Source organism: Homo sapiens, chromosome 12 (genome assembly GCF_000001405.40).
Source record: "Homo sapiens chromosome 12, GRCh38.p14 Primary Assembly".
NCBI classification, from domain to species: Eukaryota; Metazoa; Chordata; class Mammalia; order Primates; family Hominidae; genus Homo; species Homo sapiens.
The window spans coordinates 112,220,585-112,242,523 of NC_000012.12; the positions used below are offsets into that span (position 1 = coordinate 112,220,585).

Sequence of the window (21,939 nt, forward strand, 5' to 3'; positions counted from 1 at the left end):
CCAGAAGTTCAAAACCAGCCTGGCCAACACAGCAAACCACCATGTCTACAAAAAATACAAAAATTAGCCAGGCATGGTGGCACATGCTTGTAATCCCAGCTACTCGGGAGGGTGAGGCATGATAATCGCTTGAACCCAGGAGGCAGAGGTTGCAGTGAGCTGACATCATGCCACTGCATTCCAGCCTGGGTGACAGAGTGAGACTCTGTCTCTAAATAAATAAACAAGAGATAAGAAGCACCTGCCCTGGCCCTGCATGGTGGTGCATGCCTGTAATTCCAGCACTTCGGGAGGCTGAGGCAGGAGGACTGCTTAAGCCCAGGAGTTTGAGACCAGCCTGGGAGACATAGTGAGACCCCGTCTCTACAAATTTTTATTTTTTTGAGACAAGGTCTCTCGCTCTGTTGCCCAGGCTGGAGTGCAATGGCGCAATCTCGGCTCACTGCAACCTCTGCTTCCCAGGCTCAAGTGATCCTCCCACCTCAGCCTCCCAAGCAGGTGGGACCACAGGCGTGAGCCACCACACTTGGCTAATTTTTTGTATTTTTTGTAGAGACAGGGTCTTGCTATGTTGCCCAGCATATAAAAATTACAATTAAAAAAAAGCACCTGTTTTAAAGTGTTGGTAGTGAAAACGGGCAGGAAAGGGATAAATTTCAGGAGCATTTTATTTTATTTTATTGAGACAGGGTCTCACTCTGTCTCTCAGGCTGGAGGGCAGTGGTGCAATCACAGCTCACTGCAGCCCTGACTTCCTGGACTCAGGTGATCTTCCCACCTCAGCCTCCCGAGTAGCTGGGACTACAAGTATCTACCACCATGCCTGGCTTTTTTGTAGATAGGGAGTTTCCTCCATTTTGCCCAGGCTGGTCTCAAACTTTTGGGCTCAAGCATTCCGCCTGCCTTGGCCTCTCAAAGTGCTGGGATTACAGATGTGAGCCACTGTGCCCAGCCTCAGGAGCATTTTAAAGGAAGAACTGGATATGGCAAGTGATTGGATGTGAAGGGACAAAGAAGAGGCATTATACTTGACTCAGTATCTGGGCATCAAAACTAACCTGGTGCGGTTTCTCATGCCTGTAATCCTAGCACTTTGGGAGGCTAAGGAGGGAAGATCACTTGAGCCCAGAGGCAACATAGGGAGACGCTGTCTCTTGTTTTTCTTTTTCTTTTCTTTTTTTTTTTTTTGAGATGGAGTCTCGCTCTGTCAACCAGGCTGGAGTGCAACGGCATGATCTCGGCTCACTACAACCTCTGCCTCCTGGGTTCAAGCGATTCTCCTGCCTCAGCCTCCTGAGTAGCTGGGATTACAGGCACTCGCCCCCATGCTCGGCTGATTTTTCTTTTTTTTTTTTTTGAGACGGAGTCTCACTGTGTCACCCAGGCTGGAGTGCAGTGGTGTGATCTCGGCTCACTGCAACCTCTGCCTCCTGGGTTCAAGTGATTCTTCTGCCTCAGCCACCTGAGTAGCTGGGACTACAGGTGCGTGCCACCACACCCGGCTAATTTTTGTATTTTTAGTAGAGACGGGGTTTCACTATCTTGGCCAGGCAGTCTTGAACTCCTGACCTCATGATCCGCCTGCCTTGGCCTCCCAAAGTGCTGAGATTACAGGCGTGAGCCATTGCACCTGGCCTAATTTTTGTATTTTAAGTAGAGATGGGGTTTCACCAAGTTGGACAGGCTGGTCTGGAACCCCTGACCTCAGGTAATCCACCTACCTCGGCCTCTCAAAGTGCTGAAATTACAGGCGTGAGCCACAGCACCTGGCCCTCATTTTTCTAATAATTAAAAAAATTACACTGGGTGTGGTGGCTCATACCTGTAATCCCAGCACTTTGGGAGGTTGAAGTGGGCGGATCACTTGAGGTCAGGAGTTTGAGAACAGCCTGTCCAACATGGTAAAACCCTGTCTCTACTAAAAATGCAAAAATTATCCACGTGTGGTGGCAGGCACCTGTATTCCTAGCTACTCGGTAGGCTGAGGCAGGAGAATCACCTGAACCTGGGAGGCAGAGATTGTAGTGAGCTAAGATCGTGCCACCGCACTCCAGCCTGGGCAACAGAGTGAGACTCTGTCTTTTAAAAACAAACAAAAAATTAGCCGGGCATGGTGGTGTGCACCTGTGGTCCCAGCTACTCAGGAGGCTGAAGCAAGAGGATTGCCTGAGCCCAGAAGGTTGTGGCTGCAGTGAGCCTTGATCGCAACACTGCACTCCAGCCTGGGTGACAGAGCGAAACCCTGTCTCAAAAAACAAAAACAAAAGCAAAAACAAAATTAGTCTGAATATTAAGTAAAACAGGGAACTCGGGAAGGAGAGCTGATTCCAGAGTAAGGAATGACTTTGGTTATCAATTTGGTGCATTCATGAGGCTGGGGAGGGGGATATTTTTAAAGAAGTAGCTGCTAAGCCTGGATCTCAGCTGAGGGATTGCTCAGTGTAGAAGCCAGGAAAGCTCAGGAGAAGGGTAGGTAAAAGTAAGGAGGGTCAGGGTGAATCTTGGAGCCCTGTTTCTTCCAGTGAGGTCTGATGGTTCCGGTAGCCTGCTGTCTGGGACCACCCTCTACTTACAATTCTGACTTTGTAATCATGCTTCCCAGGAGTTCTGAGGAACTTCCAAAGTTGGAGAATATCTGGCTCAGGGAGTAAGTACATTAGGAAGCTGGGAGAAGAGAAAACAGCTGAAACTGGGAGATTCTAGCTTCTGCAAGGGGGTAAAATAATGTTGAGAACTTTTTTGGTTTCTATGTGCCTTTTCTTCAGGTTCAAAAATCTGCTTCCTCTGCTGTTTCAACCAAGGGATCCAGTTAATGTCTCAGGAATATTTCTTTTTTTCTTTCTTTCTTCTTTTTAGACAGAGTCTTGCTCTGTCTCCCAGGCTGGAGTGCAGTGGCACGATCTCAGCTCATGGCAACCTCCACCTCCTGGGATCAACTGATTCTTATGCCTCAGCCTCCCAAGTAGCTGGGATTACAGGCACACCCCACCATATCTGGCTAATTTTTGTATTCTGAGTAGAGACAGGGCTTCACCATATTGGCCAGGCTGTTCTCAAACTGCTAACCTCAAGTGATCTGCCCACCTTGGCCTCCCAAAGTGCTGGGATTACAGGCGTGAGCCACCACGTCCGGCCTTCAGGAATATTTTTTCAAGGAAAAAAGTTTTGTAGTGCTATCTCCCTAGATCAAATGGAATCTGGTACTGTCTTCTTTAGATAGAGACGCTATAAAATTTGGCTATCAGTGAGTAAATATTAGAATGGCCAAGTTTGCCACTTAATTCATCCCAGAAGAGGAAAAATAATAGAAGTTGATTAAATATTTTAAAATTTAAAAATTTTTAAAAATTTGAGTATCAATACATTATTGCTTATAAATTTCATGACATTTTCATATATAAAGTAAAAAATTTTAATACCTTAAAAAATGAAAATCAAATAACTCTGTCTTTTCTACCTACTCCTCACCTTGAATCTTATTTATTAAACAGCTTTTCTCCTGAGTATAGTCTATGCCTCCCTTGTAGGCCTAAGAATCTACCACTGTTCTGCAAAGTAACCCGGAATGTAGGTTTTTCCCTTTGGTTTTTATCACTAACTGACATAGGAGTCAGTAAACTTTGCCATTTACTTCAAATGTCAGAACCATTTCTGGTAACCTAATAAGTGAGTTATTAAGGATTCTTTTTTTTTTTTTTTGAGATGGAGTCTCGCTCTGTTGCCCAGGCTGGAGTGCAGTGGCATGATCTCGGCTCACTGCAAGCTCCACCTCCCGGGGTTCACGCCATTCTCCTGCCTCAGCCTCCCGAGTAGCTGGGACTACAGGTGCCCGCCACCACGCCTGGCTAATTTTTTGTATTTTTAGTGGAGACGGGGTTTCACCGTGTTAGCCAGGATGGTCTCCATCTCCTGACCTCATGATCTGCCTGCCTCGGCCTCCCAAAGTGCTAGGATTACAGGCATGAGCCACCGCGCCCGGCCCAAGGATTCTTCAACTTTACATAGGATACTATTTAGAATACAAATCAATACGCATAAGCTCATAGTCTTCTCTTTTGTAGTAATTAACAAGCACTTCCCATACATTTCTTTGCAACTCTTTGTTACCACAAAGTGGTTTTCCACTAGGAAAAATAGGTTAGGTGGACTATGATCAAAATCATGTGAGACCACTGCTCTAAATTATTACAAATCCTACCTTATGCATTAAGTATCAATGTAAATTTCACAATTAAGACCTCTTTATTCTATAAAATATATAAGAGGATACCCAGAAACAGTCCCATAGAAAAGCAAGTGATTAATTCAGCATGTTATATGCTGCTATAATCAGTCAAAATATGTCTTCGAATGCAATCTAAGCCAACAATATAAAAAAAGTCAGAGGCAGTGAACTAAGGACCTACTAAGAGTACAAAACGAAGTCACAAGTAATTTCACCCTTGACGCCTAGCACACCCCTTGCTTCTGTTCTTGTTCTCTATTCTTAGCATCTCTCTGAGGTTTATTAATGGTTCCTGGATCTCCCAGCTGGAGCTTCTGCTGAATCCAAGGCACTACCCTTATCAAAAGAAAGAGATGTGAGAAGTAAAACGGATACAGACAAATTTAAAAATAAAAAGAAAACAACAGAAATGACCACAATGTGAAAGAGTAACAAAAACTACAAACAGAAAAGGTATTAGAGAGTTACTGACAAAATAAACGGCATGAGAAAAAGTAATACAGACTTTTTAAAAGACCAAAAAAAAAAAAAAAAAAGAGGATGAACCTACAAGCACTAAGGGATTTAAAGCCGTCCATTTCTAACATGTAGTTTGTGAAAATGTTAGCATTGGAGGAATGTTAATTGAATTGTGAACAATTTCACTTAGGGTCCAGTTATATCCTTGGGGACAAAAGATAAATTTTCATTTAACCAGGCCAACTACCAATTTACAGGAAACAAAACGGCAAATGAACATGGTAAATGACACCACAGGGATACAGTCATCAAAATCCAGACTGGGAAACCTTCCACAAACAAATTGTAAGGCAAAAAAAAAAAAAAAAAGACTAAGAGGAATCTATATTTTAAAATAGATTAAAAAGACACAGCAACAAAGTAACAATTTGTAAACTTTATTTGGATCCTCATTCAAATAAATAAATATAAAAACAAGGATGATCTTTATGGGAAAATTAGGAAGTTAAACACTGACTAGATATGTATATACACATATTTTTAGAGACAGGGTCTCACTATGTTGCCCAGGCTGCATTCAAACGCCTGGGCTCAAGCGATCCTCCTGCCTCAGCTTCCCAAGTAGCTGGGATTACAGGCACATGCTGCCATGCCCAGCTTAGATACTTAATAATATTTAAAAATTACTGTTAATAATTTAGATAGGTGATAATGGTGTTGTAGTTATTTAAGATTCTTTATTTTTCAGAGACGTAAACTAAAATACTTATGAATAAAATAATATCTAGGATTAAAAATAATTCCAGGGGTTGCAGCACAGATAAAACAGGATCAGTTATGAGTAGACAACTGTTGAAACTGGATAATGGAATCCTGAAGGTTCATTATACTAGTCTCTCAATTTTGGTATTTGGACTTTTCCATACACACACACACACACTCACACACACACTCACACACACACTCACACACACACATGCAAGGATGGATGTTAGTGCAAACTCTTGACTGGGAATTCAAATGTAGCCAATGACAACAGTCAAAATGTACATGCCAGCCCTAAGGACAGCTCCTAAATATTATAGTTCTAATAGGTAAATAAAGGCAACAAATCAATAGGAATGAAGAAAAGAAAACACTCTGACATGGTCCTAAAGTTAATTGAAAAATGCTGATTTCCTAACTGGTGTAGATTAAAAGCTTTTTATTTACATTTCTAGGTCTGTGATGCACGTGAGTTGTGACAGGTGTTGTCCTTACAGCTCGGCTGTTTTGATGTGTGTGTATGAAGACACTTAACATACCATTATCAAATTGCAAATGTGCTGAGAAAATTCAATAAAACAGGGTGGTAAGGCAAGTTCAGGTACTCACCAGCACTACATTCCTGGGCTACTAGGTTAAGAACTTCAACAGCTGCTGGACATTGTTGTATGAATTCTTCACAAAATAAGCTGTCTTCTAAAAGCTGGGCCATGACCAGGCATGCTCTTAATGTTAAAAGATTTACAATATTTCAAAGTCATCAGTGTTCATTGTCTAAAAAAGTCAACTGTGAAAAACATTTCAATCAATTTTGCCCCCCAGTTTACAACAAGGTTCAAACACCCCACTCATCTTGCTTTTTTTTTCTGAGCTGGACTGTCTTGGAAATATATAAATAACTTCTCTTTTGCCACACAGTAACTGCTGACACTGCATGAAGAATTGGAAAAGAGAAAAATGGTTGCCATCACCACTAAATGGAGATACAAAGTGCCAGGTGAGAAATCAGCACTGTCTCTTAAAAGCTTTTCCTAACTTTGCCCTAGGGAAGCAAGAGGGATTCAAAAAGTGGGAAAATCTGTATGGCGATCGCTCTCACCTGATTCAAAATACACACTAGACGTTTCTAAGAAGTGTCATTGTTGGCCGGGCATGGTGGCTCACGCCTGTAATCCCAGCAATTTGGGAGACCAACGCAGGTGGATCACCAGAGGTCAGGAGTTTCAGACCAGCCTGGCCAACATGGCGAGACCCCATCTCTACTAAAAATATAAAAATTAGCCAGGAGTGGTGGTATGCGCCTGTAATCCCAGCTACTCAGGAGGCTGAGGCAGGAGAATCGCTTGAACTAGGGAGGCAGAGGTTGCAGTGAGCTGAGATCATGCCACTGCACTCCAGCCTGGGTGACACAGCAAGACTCTGTGTCCAAAAAAAAAGAAGTTTCATTGTCAAAAAGAGACACCTGTTACTGCTGTTTAACGCTAAATAAATGTATTTGCAGGAAAAGACCAACACCAACCCCTGTGTGCATGTCCTAGTTTTCCCATCATCAGTTTGGAAAGTGATAGGCCAGATATGTATCAATGTGGCCTGAACCATTTTATTTATTTAATTATTTATTTGAGATGGAGTTTCGCTCTTGTTGCCCAGGCTGGAGTGTAGTGGCACCATCTCGGCTCACTGCAACCTCTGCCTCCCGAGTTCAAGCGATTCTCCTGCCTCAAGGTAGTAGAGTTATTCCTGTGATGGAACAGAGTTCTTTTAACAAAGCAAATCAGTGGAGCCTTATGTATGTGTTTCATACATCACATTTCATTTGTATGCTAAACTTTATTTTGAAGTGTAGACATTGGGGAACGCAACAAAAATTGAAGAAATTAAGGAATGCAACGAACTATGGTAAAAACTGTAAAAGAATGGTTACTGTTGCTCAGTTTAGTGTGAGCTTCAAGCTGTGGATTCACTAAGTTGGGAGTGGAGGGGCCCACCAAGGATCCCTTCTTCTGTCAGCTTGCACCATGTCAGCACATAAGGCAATGTGGGGAGGGTACTCACCTTGTCCTTATTTCAGCAAGGAGCCGAACGACTGCCATCACAGGAGCTGACCCATCTCCTGTTGCAGGAAGTGAGGTGTGAATAGAGAGACTTCCCTCCTGAGGAAGCAACATGGACTGGACTGCCTGTACTACCTTCTCAGTAATGGACAGTTTATGAAGAGGCAATGCCTGATGGCGGTGGGGGGGCATGGCAAAAAGTTAAATTCAAGTAGTTAGTTTATAAGAAATGAGGGTGTTATTATTATCTGGAGTTAATTCTTAAATTTTCAGTTAAAAAAATAAAATCACCATACAGAAAACTACAAACCACATCAAAACAATTAAAAATACATTGTAGAAGAGCCCTAACCAACAAAGAAATGAATTTGGTCATCTAGATGAAAATTTTCACATAAGCATTACTATTAAATAACTATAACCAATACATAAATATACATCACAAGTACAATTTAAGATAATCAAGCATTTGTGCTTCTGCACTGAGCATGTGCATAGACTCATTACAGTACAGTTACCATTGGCAGACATTTTACAAAGCATTTAAAAATCACCTTACCTCTGATCTTGGAACACAAAGTCTAGACAATGGAATAGTCAATGTGTCTGACGCTTGCGAAGTCTTTCTACAGTCTATGGGTGGGAATCTGACTGTAGCTATACCTTCCTGTTCATTGATAGAAGCCACTACTCCAATGCTTCCTGAAATTCCTCTACCTAAAACCTGGAGACAGACATAGATTAGCACTACCAACCAGCTCTGACGTGTGGGCAGCTGTCTTACGAGACAAGAGGAAAAAGTAAATTTATAGTTGTCATTGTTGGCGTTACAGTAATAGTTTATACTACTAGGGTAGCAGATACCAAGCCCTAGACATGACTTATAATAGGCCCTAAAACCTAACTGCAAGGTGATCACAACATGCTGTCATCTCAAATAGAAACTCGTTACTGCTAGGCCAGGTGTGGTGGCTCATGCCTGTAATCACAGCATTTTGGGAGGTTGAGGCAGGTGGATCACTTGAGGTCAGGAGTTCGAGACCAGCCTGGCCAGCCTGATGAAATCCCATCTCTATTAAAAATACAAAAACTAGCCAGGCAAGGTGGTGGGCACCTGTAATCCCAGCTACTTGGGAGGCTGAGGCAGGAGAATCATTTGAACCCGGGAGACAGAGGTTGCAGTGAGCTGAGATTGCACCATTGCACTTCAGCCTGGGGAACAGAGCAAGACTCTGTCTCAAAACAAACAAACAAACAAACAAACAAACAAACAAACTTGTTACTGCTGTTTAATGGTAAATAAATATTTGCAGGAAAACACTGTTTTCCTTCCATTCTAATTCCATCATCAATTCTAAGACTGATACTGATCACACTACAGGACACAAGTATTGTAGTTAACCTAAGACAGTATTGCATTAATATCTGAATAATGTGTGGCACAGTGTGGATTTGAATTCAAGAATTTCTCAGATTCCTTATTTAGCTTGAAGAAACAGGTTTTTTTGTACAGCTGGTTGGATAATACTTGTCTTACAGATGATCAATTAATTAATGGATGCTTATATATATGGGGGAAGCAATGATTTGGGGAACATGGTGGTTGGTACCTGAACCTCGGATCCTATCTTGATTGTCTCTTTGAAGCCTCCAAGTGCACACAGTGCGGCAACGGCCTGGCGTGCAATTCTCTGAAGTTTGGCAAGTTTCCTGCCACTGCTGCTGCCATTTTCCAGAATGCTTTCTGCGTATTTCCCCAATTGTGGAATGTACATCAGTGCTCTAGACAGAACCTAAATATAGAAGCAGCCCGTGCACTAGGAGTTAAAGCTTTGGTTGTTTTGATGCCAAGGGTGATAAAGTGTCTACAACAGTGCCTGGGTCCCATGTATTGAAGGAACTCTGGACATGTGAGGGACCAAAAAACTATCAGGTATGGCCAATGACATCTGCCCATATTTGTCTATGTAACTGGACAAAATTGGAAATACACAACTGGGAGAATCAAACATCATGTCACTAAAACCTCTAAAATGAAACAATCATTTATCTGAAGGAAAACCATCCCAGCATACTGTCCACTTGGCAACACTCAGTTACCTTCAGGACATGTCATAAGGGGTTCATTTGAAGAGTGGCTGTGGAAAGGGGGAATTGCTTACAGATCCGTAGTTTCAGGCAACTGGACTACTGTTTGTAATGATGAATCACTTACTGACAGGGCACTCAGGCAGTGTAAATCACGCAGAGGCCTCCTTGGACTTAGTGAGTACACTTAAATCCAATAAACCAACACTGCATGATCTCCTAATGTCAGTACCAATCTAACATAAGCAAGAAGAAGAGAAACAAGGCCTGTCACTCTTTCCCTGAGAATACTGTCCTATCGTCTGCAAAATGAGAACCGGGAGTGACAGGTGATATAGGTTAACAGAGTTGAAAGTACTACAGTAAAGCAACTTCCAGGGGAAAGTCAGTTAACAGGTATCTGATGAATTTGGAAAATTTCTCTTTACTGAAATGCCCCTTGCTGGGTATGATTCTAATTCTAATTAGCTTACTTCTTATTTTCTCAGTTGAGTAGCAACACTGCGCTAACCTTCTCTGCTGTTGTGGTCCATATTTGAGCAGCATTTGATTCAGGTGCCATGAGCAAGCTATGTAGCAAGGCGATCACTTCTGCAGCCATGCTGTTTGCCACATGCCCACTGATGAAGGGACGCACAGGATCAGTCCTGCAAGTGTCAACAGGAAAAAGTGTCAGTGCCCAGTGATGGTTAAGACTGCAGGGAAGTGGCTTTCAGGGTTAGCATCAGAGGAAAACCTTTTCTTTTTATACAAGAAAAAGTGGATTCCATTGACCGAGAAAACAAGAAGCTACATTATCATTAGGAAGAAATCACTGTGTCATATTCTTTGTGGTATCTGAAGAACTGCCTCAAACAATGGACCTCAAACTTTATTTATAAGCCATGAGGATCAGGGAAAGACACTGCATTGCAACTATTCCTGGCTTTCAAGCACAAAACACCTCGAACCAACTTCACAGAGGCAACACTTAACTGCTGCTTCTGCTCCTAGAAAGAAGTTTGTGTTCAGTTGGGGCAGTGGAGATGTACCATTTGCAAGAAATAAAGGTAGCAAGACCAGAGTTTATTAATACTACTCAAAAGAATCCTCTGGCTATAAATGTCCCCTCAGCCAGGAGCATCCCTCTATTCTTTCATGACAACCTCAGATCTACCTGGATGGTCATTACTCCCCGACGTACTCCAGGCTGTACCTTGAGTGCAACTACTACAGCAGATGGCGGCCTCATTTCCAAGAGGTCAAGGGGATGGTAGAAAATTAAAAAGCTAAAAACAAACCCATTATAAAGTAAACCTGAGATGAGTGTGGACAGCTCCTACCTGTGGAAGGTTTACCTTGCAAGCTCCGAGTTCCTCTCTCGGCAAATGGAAGTTTGGGCAGTTTTCTTTTTGTCGCCTGTGGATAGTCCACTCACAGTCTCTGGGTTGATAGACTCTACAGGTGGCCCAATGCTGACGATGAGGCCTGACTGTGCCCACTTGGTGGCTTTCCGCAGGGCGGCTGCAGCCTCTTCTGTAATCACTTCGCAACAGCCACCCTGGGGTGAGGTTGAAGACGCTGAGAAGATTCATTTCAGTCTTCCCAGCACTATATTTTTCAAGTCTATTTCCCCTCAATTACCAAAGCAATCCACACTCATTTTTTTTTAATTCAAACATAAAATATTATATGTAGAGTAAAATTTCCATAGACATCCCAGGCCTCATCCAGGCTGAGATAATGGTTAGTCATCTAGATAACTTCTGTGCAAATTCTGGCATACGTATCACAGGGCCCCGACACAGACTGCATTTCATTTTGCTTTTATCAGTTATCAGTGTATCGCGGAGACTCTTCCACATCAATACACAGAGATCTACCTCATTGTTTTTCATAGTTGCACAGCATTTCATTATATGACTGTAATAATTTCTTTAACCAATCCCCTCTTTATGAGTATGTGGATCCTATTTTCTGTTTTTGTTTTGTTCGAGATTGAGTCTTGCTCTGTTGCCCAGACTAGAGTGCAGTGGTGCGATCTCGGCTCACTGCAACCTCCACCTCCCAGGTTCAAGCGATTCTCCTGCCTCAGCCTCCCAAGTAGCTGGGATTACAGGAGCCTGCCACCACGTCTGGCTAATTTTTGTATTTTTTAGTAGACAGGATTTTGCCATGTTGGCCAGGCTAGTCTCAAACTCCTGACCTCAGGTGATCCACCTGCCTTGGTGTCTCAAAGTGCTGGGATTACAGGCGTGAGCCACAGTGCCTGGCCTATTTTGTTTGTTTTTTCAAACAAAACTGTGAAGAACACCCTGTGTGTCTCTCCCTGGACACTTGAGACTTTATTTACCCTCACCTTGACAATAAAGGGTATTACTAATCTTTCTTGACTTGTCTGACAGATGAAAAATGATATATTACTATTGTTTTTATTCCTTTCCTTTAATTATTTGTGAGCCTGGGTATATTTTTATATTTTTAATAAGGTATTTGTAATTCTTATTATCTGTTATTTTCTTAGCAACCTTTCACCTATTTTCAACTATCTCACCTATCTCAAACTATTTTTAGGCTATTAAACTATTTTCAACTTCAAATTATTAAACTTTCTTAAAAGAGCTAAGAAAAAATTTCTAGGTCAAAACTAAAAGTTTTGATTTTGACAAACTGACTTTAACTAGTTCTCTTTAAAATGGCCTCAGTTAAGGCACTGACTTCAATTTCTCACCTTGCCTCTTCGTTGGAACTTGAACTAATTTTTTGTTTTCTTAATTTGTTCTGAAAATCTAAAGCATGACAAATACTCTACAATTTCGGGTTTCATCGTTTTAACCTCATGAGGTTACCTTGGTCATGTCTCGATCCATCTTCACAACTTTCTCCATGTTGGCGCCAGTACCAAGTCGGAAGGGCCGTCCTTCTGAACTACTGAAAAAAGGCAGGCAGAGAACACAGCACACCTTACAGGCACTGCCAAAAGTGGGCTGCATGCCATGGGGTCACCCAGTCATGGTGAGGCCCTATTATACACTAACATTAGCTTACACTAACATTAGCTTTTTTTTTTTTTTTTTTTTTTTTTGAGACAGGGTGTTGCTCTTTCACCCAGGCTGGAGTGCAGTGGCGTGATCACAGCTCACTGCAGCCTCGATCTCCCTAGGTTCAGGTGATTCTCCCACCTCAGCCTCCCAAACAGCTGGGACCACAGGTTCATGCCACTATGCTTGCCTAATTTTTGTATTTTTTGAAGAGATGGGATCTCACTATGTTGCCCAGGCTGGTCTCGAACTCCTGGGCTCAAGCCATCCTCCTGCCTTGGACTCCTAAAGCACTGGGATTACAGGCATGAGCCACCATGCCTGGACCTCTAACACTAGCTTTTAAAATCCACAATTTAAGACTCAATTTTTCAAAAAGGAAATAATTTATTACTGCTTAATTATAGCACTTTAGGGCCCAAAACAACAGCGTTTTTAGAGTTGTAAGGGTATCTAGAAATCCAGATGAAAATAATGCACAAAATGAAAAACTGACATGAACCCAGAACAAAAGCAGGGCCTGAGGACATCATCTAAACCCCAAGGAGAGGGAACTTTAACGACACCATAGATGTGATCCCTTGGCGAATGACATCTATTAGAAAGGAAGATTACAGGCGTGAGCCACAGCGCCTGGCCTATTTTGTTTGTTTTTTTCAAACAAAACTGTGAAGAACACCCTGTGTGTTTCTCCCTGGACACTTGAGACTTTATTTACCCTCACCTTGACAATAAAGGGTATTACTAATCTTTCTTGATTTTACTTGTCTGACAGATGAAAAATGATATATTACTATTGTTTTTATTCCTTTCCTTTAATTATTTGTGAGCCTGGGTATATTTTTATATTTTTAATAAGGTATTTGTAATTCTTATTATCTGTTATTTTCTTAGCAACCTTTCACCTATTTTCAACTATCTCACCTATCTCAAACTATTTTTAGGCTATTAAACTATTTTCAACTTCAAACTATTAAACTTTCTTAAAAGAGCTAAGAAAAAATTTATTAGTGTTCCTTTCTAATAGTTCTTCTTCCCCTGCCTCCTGAACTTGGTTCTCCAAAAAAAATCTTTCATCAAATTTGTACAATGATGCATTGCAATGTCCAGGAATGTTTCTTGGAGATTTCCTCATATAAGCCCTGACCTGCCATAATCCCGCTTAGTTTACACCATGGTCCCATTAGTGTTTTCAGTTGCCATAATGGCAGACAGGGGATTCAATTATGAGGATGACAACATCGTCAGATCATTTAAGTAAAGAGAGGCCTCTTCAATCTGAGACATAAATACCTGCTCTGAATTCCCCTGTGCTATGTGGCAAGCCTTCCTGTTGCCCTGGATCCCACTAACAAAGCCCTGCAGGTTTGTAATATTTGGGCAATGACTATATTTTTACTTTCTTCTTGAGTAATCACACCATTTCATACTTCAACTAATTAAAGATTTAAAAAAGTGTCTCTTGTTTCTCCAACTCACAGTCAATGAGTTGGAGTTTACCTAAATTTACCAACAGCTGAAGGATGCCAACAACTAAAAATCAAATGGCATTATTCCTTCTCAAAGCCCAAGTCACACTGGAGGCTTCCCATAGACAATAATACATCGTCCACATGGCTTTAGCTCTCAGTTGCACTTAGAGAGACAGTACCAAGTTGTGGTTCAGAGCTTGGGTTCTATGGTCAGAGAAGACTACATCTGCATTTCAGCTCTGCCTCAGTTTCTTTCTGTGTCACCACAGGAATCACAGTGACAGTGTCTACCTGAAAGGGGTGTAAAGAGGGCCGAGGCAGTCGATACATGTACAGGGCTTACTTAGCACAGTGCCTGTGACATGGGTGGTGCTTGAGGATGTGTAGCTATCACAATCATTATGGTCACCTTAGCAATGGCTGGAGGACTTCATGGGATGACTGGTCTTCCCGCTTGTGGATAAATATCGAGAGCTTGCCATCCACAGCCTCACTCTCTTCTCCAGGATCTTTATCTCCTTTCAAGGAATTCTTGGGACTGGTTTTTGTCAATGTGGTGTCAGGTTCAGAAGCGGTTGGAGAAAGAACTGTCTGACATCCTTTAAGCAAAAAACAAAGCTCATTCAGGAAAACTGCAGTGTTGTTTTGGCGGCTCTGCTAAAATGAAAAATAATGGTTTGGGATTTGGAATCTTTCTTCCCCCTTCTCTATTCCTGTCCCCGCTCCCTTCTCTGTCACTCACTCTTTCATCATAGGAAGCACAGATGCAAGGGGGACCTGACTGGGCACAGGAATGCTGCACTGCCATGCTACTCTCCTGTTGAGGAGCTTCTCACCTGGAACCACATAATCTGCCAGCTTTGCTAAGAGCAGGGAGGCGATCTTGGAAGCTGGGTCGCTGGGATCCTCCTGCTCACTGTTTAAGGAGGGGACAGAGTAGCTCCAGGGTGGGAGCTCCACGTTTCCACAGTCTTCTACGCTCATCAGGGGCAGCGCCGCCCGGCACAGCTGGAGAATAATAAGGACTAGCTTTGGAGACGGGCGTTGGTCAAGCAGCAGGGAGAGGAGTTTGGACACACAAGCTGGCTGGCTCAGGATGGCTTTACCTATGTGGCTCCTGGGAAAAAAGGAAGAAAAGGTACACAGTGCTAGAAATGTTGATCTATAGACATTCAGAAGCAAGAGTTCTCTGAATGAAACAAACCAATGAAATCTGATTTCACGAGGAATCATGAATGTGGCACTATGCTTCTGTGAAGAATTAAGAATTTTGGAAACATTTGATGAAACCAAACAACACTAATACTTAAAAAGAAAGATTTTTGAATATTTTCTGATCTCTGATGTTTACTTGAGATCCTAAATTCAGAGTGATTCATGGAGCACTGAGACTTAGAAACTCAAACTAAGAGCTTTTCAGTTTGTCATTTATTCTTTCATTTTTTTAACGGGAAAAAAGACATACAAATTTATTTAACATGTATACACAGGAGCCTTCAGAGTGAAGACTCAATTTCCCATGAGTTACAGAAGCTTATCTACCATCTTGAGGTTACAGAAAGAATGGGGGCTTGGATCCTGGTAAACCAGGTTAAGGGAGAGGGGAGAAGCATTCTATAATAAATGATTGCTAGGGAGAATGACTGGATCTGGGAACAGAGATTAACTTGTAAATAGTTCTCTTTGGAATTTACGTTATTTATTCTTTCTTAATGAGTACCTCAAGACCAAAGCTATCATACAGTGTTTCATAGGCTTCAATGTTCTAGGATCTGCCACAGCTAAAACTGTTATATTCCAAGAAAGCTAAATAACATGCAGTCAGTCATATGTGGATATTTTATGGGCCTCGTGGCTCACACAGGGAGTATATAACCAGCACAGAGTATCTTCTTTTAAAGACACAGCATGAGAAAGTGAGTTAATTACAGGCCCTGACTCATTCCTCTTTAATCTTGCTACAATGAGGGTAAGATTTTTGGTTAATGAATACAACTGCATCTATGGGAAAGGTTAGCAGCTGCTGTCAGTAAGGTATTAAAGCAAATGATGATATATTATTTTATGATTTAGCTATTCACCTAAATAATCCTTATATTTTGGAACTAAATACTATGTTTCAATGACTTTATCCTCCATTATTTTTTTGAGGCAAGAGTGTGTCAAAATGGCCTAGTAATTTAGCTATTTTGAAAAGACAACCACCACCAAAAGAAACCCCAATCGTTCAAGAGGAAAGCCAGCTTCTCCCAGAGCTCCAGGCTGGACCTTGCATACCTTGAGAGATCATTGAGAAGACTAAGGACATCCTGGAGCGCGTCATTCCCAGCAGCCTGGTTGCCACAGCACTCTGTGGCTCGGGCAAGATGGTTAGTGAGAAGGCTGGACACCTGCCGGGCCAGACCTGAGTGCACAGCCTCTGTGGAGCCACCTTCACAGTTAAAGAAAGAAAAAAAGAGATTGGTGAAAACTTAAGGGTGCCATGGTGAGCCTGAGGGGGCGGCGAGCCCTGTCCATTTATCTTGCTTAATGTTTCATGAACCATCTAATAGTGTCTCCTCATTAGATAATGTCTACACATAAAAAGGATAATAGTTATTTTAAAAATAACTCAATGTGGGGGGTAGACATTACTATTAATGAAAATTGAATATGATTAATTCATACATAACCAAAGAACATACTTTGATTGATAGGGAAGAATCATTACTTCACCGGTGATGAAAACATCTTGATTTCTTAACTCATACTTTCCCAAACACAATAAAAGACCTTTCTGGATTCTTCCATGTTTACCATAGTTCCAGAACCTCCCAAGCATGTAAAAGTTATGAAAAAGTATTTGTTGTTTCCTGAACTTTCCATGCTCTTTTAGATCGCTGAGTCTACACACGCTGTTTGTTCTGCTCGAAAGTATTCTCCTTCCTTCAAGAGTAACTCCCGTGTCACCTTCTCTGGGAAGCTTTGCTGGATCCCTAGCACAGCTGGTCTCTGGGACCTCTACACTCCCACTGCACATCCTATCTACCTCAGTTGTGGCACTGATTACACTATAAGTATTTGCTTATTGGTCTATTTCCCTGTCAGACCTTTTTTTTTTTTTTGAGATGGAGTTTTGCTCTTGTTGCCCAGGCTGGAGTGCAATGGCATGATCTTGGTTCACTGCAACCTCCGCCTCCCAGGTTCAAGTGATTCTCCTGCCTCACCCTCCCTAGTAGCTGGGATTACAGGTATGTGCCACCATGCCCGGCTAATTTTGTATTTTTAGTAGAGATGGGGTTTCTCCATGTTGGTCAGGCTGGTCTCGAACTCCTGACCTCTGGTGATCCGCCCTCCTCAGCCTCCCAAAGTGCTGGGATTACAGGCGTGAGCCACTGCACCCAGCCTATGCCAGACCATATTTTTAAAGGGAGGAATAATGCCTTATTTATCTTTTGCCTGGCATATAATAGACTCTCAAGACATTAAAATGCATCGTGAACAAATAAACAGATAAATAAACAAGTTATACACACAGGCCTGGAATCTTATTGGGAAATTTATCCTTCAAGTTTACTTTTTTTTTTGAAACAGGGTCTCGCTCTGTTGCCCAGGGAGTGTAGTGGCACGATCACAGCTCACTGCAGCCTCGACCTCCCTGGCTCAAGCAATCTTCCCACTTCAGCCTTCTGAGTGGCTGGGACTATAGGCACGTGTCACTGCACCCAGCCCAGGTTTACTTTTTATTTGGATTGGTCACTAAAAATAAAATTTGGAAACATCACCTTGAAAATGCAACTGAAAAGCCACTTCAAAAAATATTTGTTTTTTTGAACGCCAAGGCGCGAGGACTGCTTGAGGCCAGGAGTTTGAGACCAACCTGGGCAACATAGTAAGATCCTGTCTCTAAAAACAAACAACAACAACAAAAAACCTTAGCTAGGCATGGTGAGTGCGCCTATAGTCCTACTTGGGAGGCTGTGGTCGGGGGATCTCTTATCATTTGAGCCAGGGAGGTTGAGGTTACAGTGAGCTATGATTGCACCACTGTACCCTAGCCTGGGTGACAGACCTTGTGTCTAATAAATTTTTTTTAATTAAAAAAATATATTTGGAAACTACTAGCAGTATTGACAAGGAGAGAATAAAAAATATCTTCTCAATTTCCTGGGATTACTGTACTCCTTCAGGGTACAGGGATATCATTCAGTCTCATCGTAATGCTGTAAGTTTTTATAAAACCACACTGAGGAAAAGTCTCTCATGAAATCATCCACTGATTTAACCCATCTGATCATGTCATTTAATAGAGGCTTTCTCTCTTTCATTTAGCATAAAAAAACCAATAAACTAACACACCAATAGAAGAAATCAGTGAGCTCTAGAAAGGAGTCTGGCATCTCACCTTCCTCTTTTTCCCACTCAACACAGCGGTTGGCAAGCACCTGGAAGGCAGCCCAGGCCATGGTGGCCACCTTCTGCTTCTTGGTCTGTTTCTCACTGGAGCTGGACTCGGTCTGATTGCTCAAGCTACACAGTCGATCCATGAGCTGCACAAGGCCACTGCGTACCAGGCACTTCTCTTCGCTCCTGACAAAGGGTCATGGATTACACTAGATAAACGTAACTGACCGACACTCAGGAAACTCTCATGTGAGGTTCAAAGGGGCATAAAACATGCTGGTGCAGCTCTTTCCCTACAACTTAGGATACTGCCATGTGCAATCAAACACAAAATGATTTTCTGATAATGATGATTCCCTTCATTAACAAGGAACTTCAAATTCTGGTTTGTTTATATACAGCAAAAATCGATGGAATCAACTCAATGTTGCCATGATGGAAAAAAATCATGTATTTTGTCCTAAGGGGATTCAATGAATGCTTGACATCTTCAAATTAGTAACTAAGTGACCCAAGAGAGGAAATAAATGTATATATGCAAAATATTTCTGCCAAATATGTAAGTAATTTCCTAGGGACCTTTTATTTTTCTTTGAACCTCTGTATCTTCACAATGTAATATAACCCTAATGGCTGCATTTAGTCATGTTGGAACTCAATAATAAGAAATTTACATAGGAACCTTAAGTGTCTTTCAGGAGAAAAGTTTTGTATAGCTAGCTCTGGATAATGAAAGCAAAAAATCCAATTTTTAAAATTAAAAATACTTTCACTTAATCGACTATACTGCAGGGTAACTTACATACAACAAAAGGCCTTTCCGTACTTACCTGGTGTAAGGTATGGTACATAAGAGTCCAATGCTATTTGCGCAAGCGATAGGGTAACGAGCACACAGAGACACAACAGAGGTCATGGTCTCGCCAAAGGCTTCCTGGACCTGCTCGACCATCCCACCACATGTGAGTTCTTCAATTCTGTGAAAGAGAAACCAAAGCTCAGGCTTCCTGAACCATGTCAAGAACAGTGGCTGAGCAGGAGAGGCCTCTTGAGAAACTCTAGAGTATCTGGATGAATCCAGAACTGAAGGGATCTTGGAGAACATCCAGCTCAGTGTTTCCTAGACTATGCAAGACTGCTGGACAGAAGTTTTAGGTGTGCCTCCAAAACAGCGGTCCACACTCCAGAAAAGTCTAGGAAATCCTGGGTTAGGGAAATTAAAACAGACTACTGTAGGACTTTTCAGAGCCTTCAGTAAGGGTAAAGCGAATGGCCTCTCCACAAGCAGGGGACATTCAACATTTTCCAAACTTATTTGATCATGAAACCAGTTATTTCAGACATGTCTACAATAATCTAAGTAGCACTGAATACTGTAAGTGCTTTTTCTTTTCTTTTCTTTTCTTTTTTTTTTTTAGAGACAGGGTCTTGGTCTGTTACCCAGGCTGGAGTGCAGTGGTACGATCACAGCTCACTGCAGCCTTGATCTCTTGGGCTCAGGTGATCCTCCCACCTCTGCCTCCCAAGTAGCTGGGACCACAGATGCACACCACCACATCCAGCTAATTTTTTTGACTTTTAGTAGAGATGATGTTTCGCTATGTTGCCCAGGCTGGTTTCAATCTCCTGAGCTCAAGTAATCCTCCCACCTCGGCCTCCCAAAGTGCTGGGATTACAGGCCTGAGCCACTGTGCCTAGCCAAGGCAGTTTTATTAATGAGACAACTAAGGCTCAAATGGATTAGCTAAGTGTCTGTTTTTGAGTTCACACTTCAGTTATTAGCAGAAGATGAAAGCCTAGTTGATATAAAATAAAACTTTCCCAATGCAAAACACAACATAGGGCCGATTCTATACCAATTAATATTAGTTTAGAACTGAAACTATCAGGATTTATCTACAAAGACATGCAACATAGTATTGTTTATAAAAGCAAAAACAAGAAAAACTAACCTAATGTTCAAAAATAGGGAATTTGTTAAAGTTTCAAGCATATAGCTACAGAACCACTAAGAACACTACGGGAGACATCTACAGTTAGAACACAGACACTAAAGTGTTAACAGAATGTTATTTTAAGAGGGTGTACTTGTAGGTGATTTTCATTGTATTTTTTGGCATTTTCTACATTTTTTTTTCAAGTTTCTGACAAATGACAATAATCGAGGGAAAAGGAATAGTGCTGCCAGTTTTATGGAGAAATTAAATTCTGGAAATAGGCTGTGGTAATCATTAGGGCTTTTCCCTATTTCTTTCTGGGCACCCTGTGGTTGGCTGGGCAGTGACAAGTCTGGTCAATGAGCCAGAGTTCTGACAAGGAGCCTGGCAGCTCTTGAGGTGATGGTTTCCTCTTCTGTGATTACCATGAGCCAGCATGAACCCATCATGAACAGAAGCAAGACCTAAAATTTTGTCTTCTTCATTTTTTGTGACAAGGTTTTGCTCTGTTGCCCAGGCTGAAGTGCAGGGTGGTGCGATCACAGCTTACTGCAGCCTCAAGCTCCTGGCCTCAAGCGATCTTCCTGCCTCAGCTTCTCCAGTAGCTGGGACCACAGGCATGCCCCACCACTACGGCTAATTTTTTCCTTTTTGTAGAGACAGGGTCTCACTATATTGCCCAGGCTGGTCTTGAACTCCTAGCCTCAAGTGATCCTCCTGCTTTGGCCTCCTTAAGTGCTGGGATTATAGGTGTGAGACACTGGGCCCAACAAAATTTTGTCTTTTAAGCCACTTAAATTTTGGACTTGTTTCCAAATAATAGTCTGACCTCTCCTGTACTCCCAGCTACTTGGAAGGCTGAGGTGGGAAGATCTCAAGATTTCTCAAGATACTCACTTCAGCTCTTAATTAACCCATTTTCCTCCAGCCACTGAACCCTCTCTGCCTGTTGGCCAGAATTCCTCAAAGAACTGTCAGGAAGCACAGCAGCCTCCAGCAGCTCCAGTCCAGGGCTTGCAGAGAAATGCATTTTCTATTTCTATTTGAAGATTTTTGAAGCCCAATAGGAAACTCATATAGAACAACTCACAAATGAGTTATAAAATCATCTTCAGAGTTAGTATCTATGATTACATTTTTAGAAATTGGTTCAGTAATAACAGTTATGGAAATGTATAAAAATATAGGCAGAAGGAGGTTGTTAATGCAAAAACAAAACAAAGCAAAAACAAAAGCAATAAAGACAAATGAACCTATGTGTCCGTCAGCAGAGGATGTGTTAATTTTTTTAGAAAAGGTCATCTATATAATGTATATCTATGAGCTCTTAAAAATCTTAAAGCAGCCAGGTGTGGTGGCTCATGCCTTTAATCCCAGCAGTCTGGGAGACTGAGACAGGAGGATCCCTTGAGCCCAGAAATTTGAGACCAGCCTGGGCAACATGGCAAGACCCCATCTCTACAAAAAATAAATACATTAGCTGGGCATGGTGGTATGCGCCTATAGTCCCAGCTACTTGGGAGGCTGAGGTGGGAA

General features: G+C 42.0%; 1 protein-coding gene across 2 annotated transcripts in view, besides 1 other annotated feature; it reads right to left on the minus strand.

The window, feature by feature from the left end:
• Positions 1–21,939, minus strand: part of HECTD4 (HECT domain E3 ubiquitin protein ligase 4) — a 222,237-nt gene that overhangs the window by 60,390 nt on the left and 139,908 nt on the right. For both annotated transcript variants that reach the window (NM_001388303.1, NM_001109662.4), the window contains exons 33-44: positions 19,297–19,443; positions 18,468–18,652; positions 16,361–16,514; positions 14,920–15,200; positions 14,493–14,682; positions 12,420–12,501; positions 10,929–11,131; positions 10,103–10,238; positions 9,114–9,296; positions 8,063–8,227; positions 7,505–7,674; positions 6,059–6,174 (exon numbers count right to left, since the gene is read on the minus strand). In NM_001388303.1, coding sequence (NP_001375232.1) covers positions 6,059–6,174; positions 7,505–7,674; positions 8,063–8,227; positions 9,114–9,296; positions 10,103–10,238; positions 10,929–11,131; positions 12,420–12,501; positions 14,493–14,682; positions 14,920–15,200; positions 16,361–16,514; positions 18,468–18,652; positions 19,297–19,443 — 2,012 coding nt within the window. The remainder of the gene's footprint in view (positions 1–6,058; positions 6,175–7,504; positions 7,675–8,062; positions 8,228–9,113; positions 9,297–10,102; positions 10,239–10,928; positions 11,132–12,419; positions 12,502–14,492; positions 14,683–14,919; positions 15,201–16,360; positions 16,515–18,467; positions 18,653–19,296; positions 19,444–21,939) is intronic.
• Positions 1,688–1,737: a silencer, noted in NCBI's record as "silent region_4882". NCBI's record gives its function as "represses an Ori minimal core promoter by ATAC-STARR-seq in GM12878 lymphoblastoid cells {active_cell/tissue: GM12878}" and the evidence as "EXISTENCE:reporter gene assay evidence [ECO:0000049][PMID:35858748]".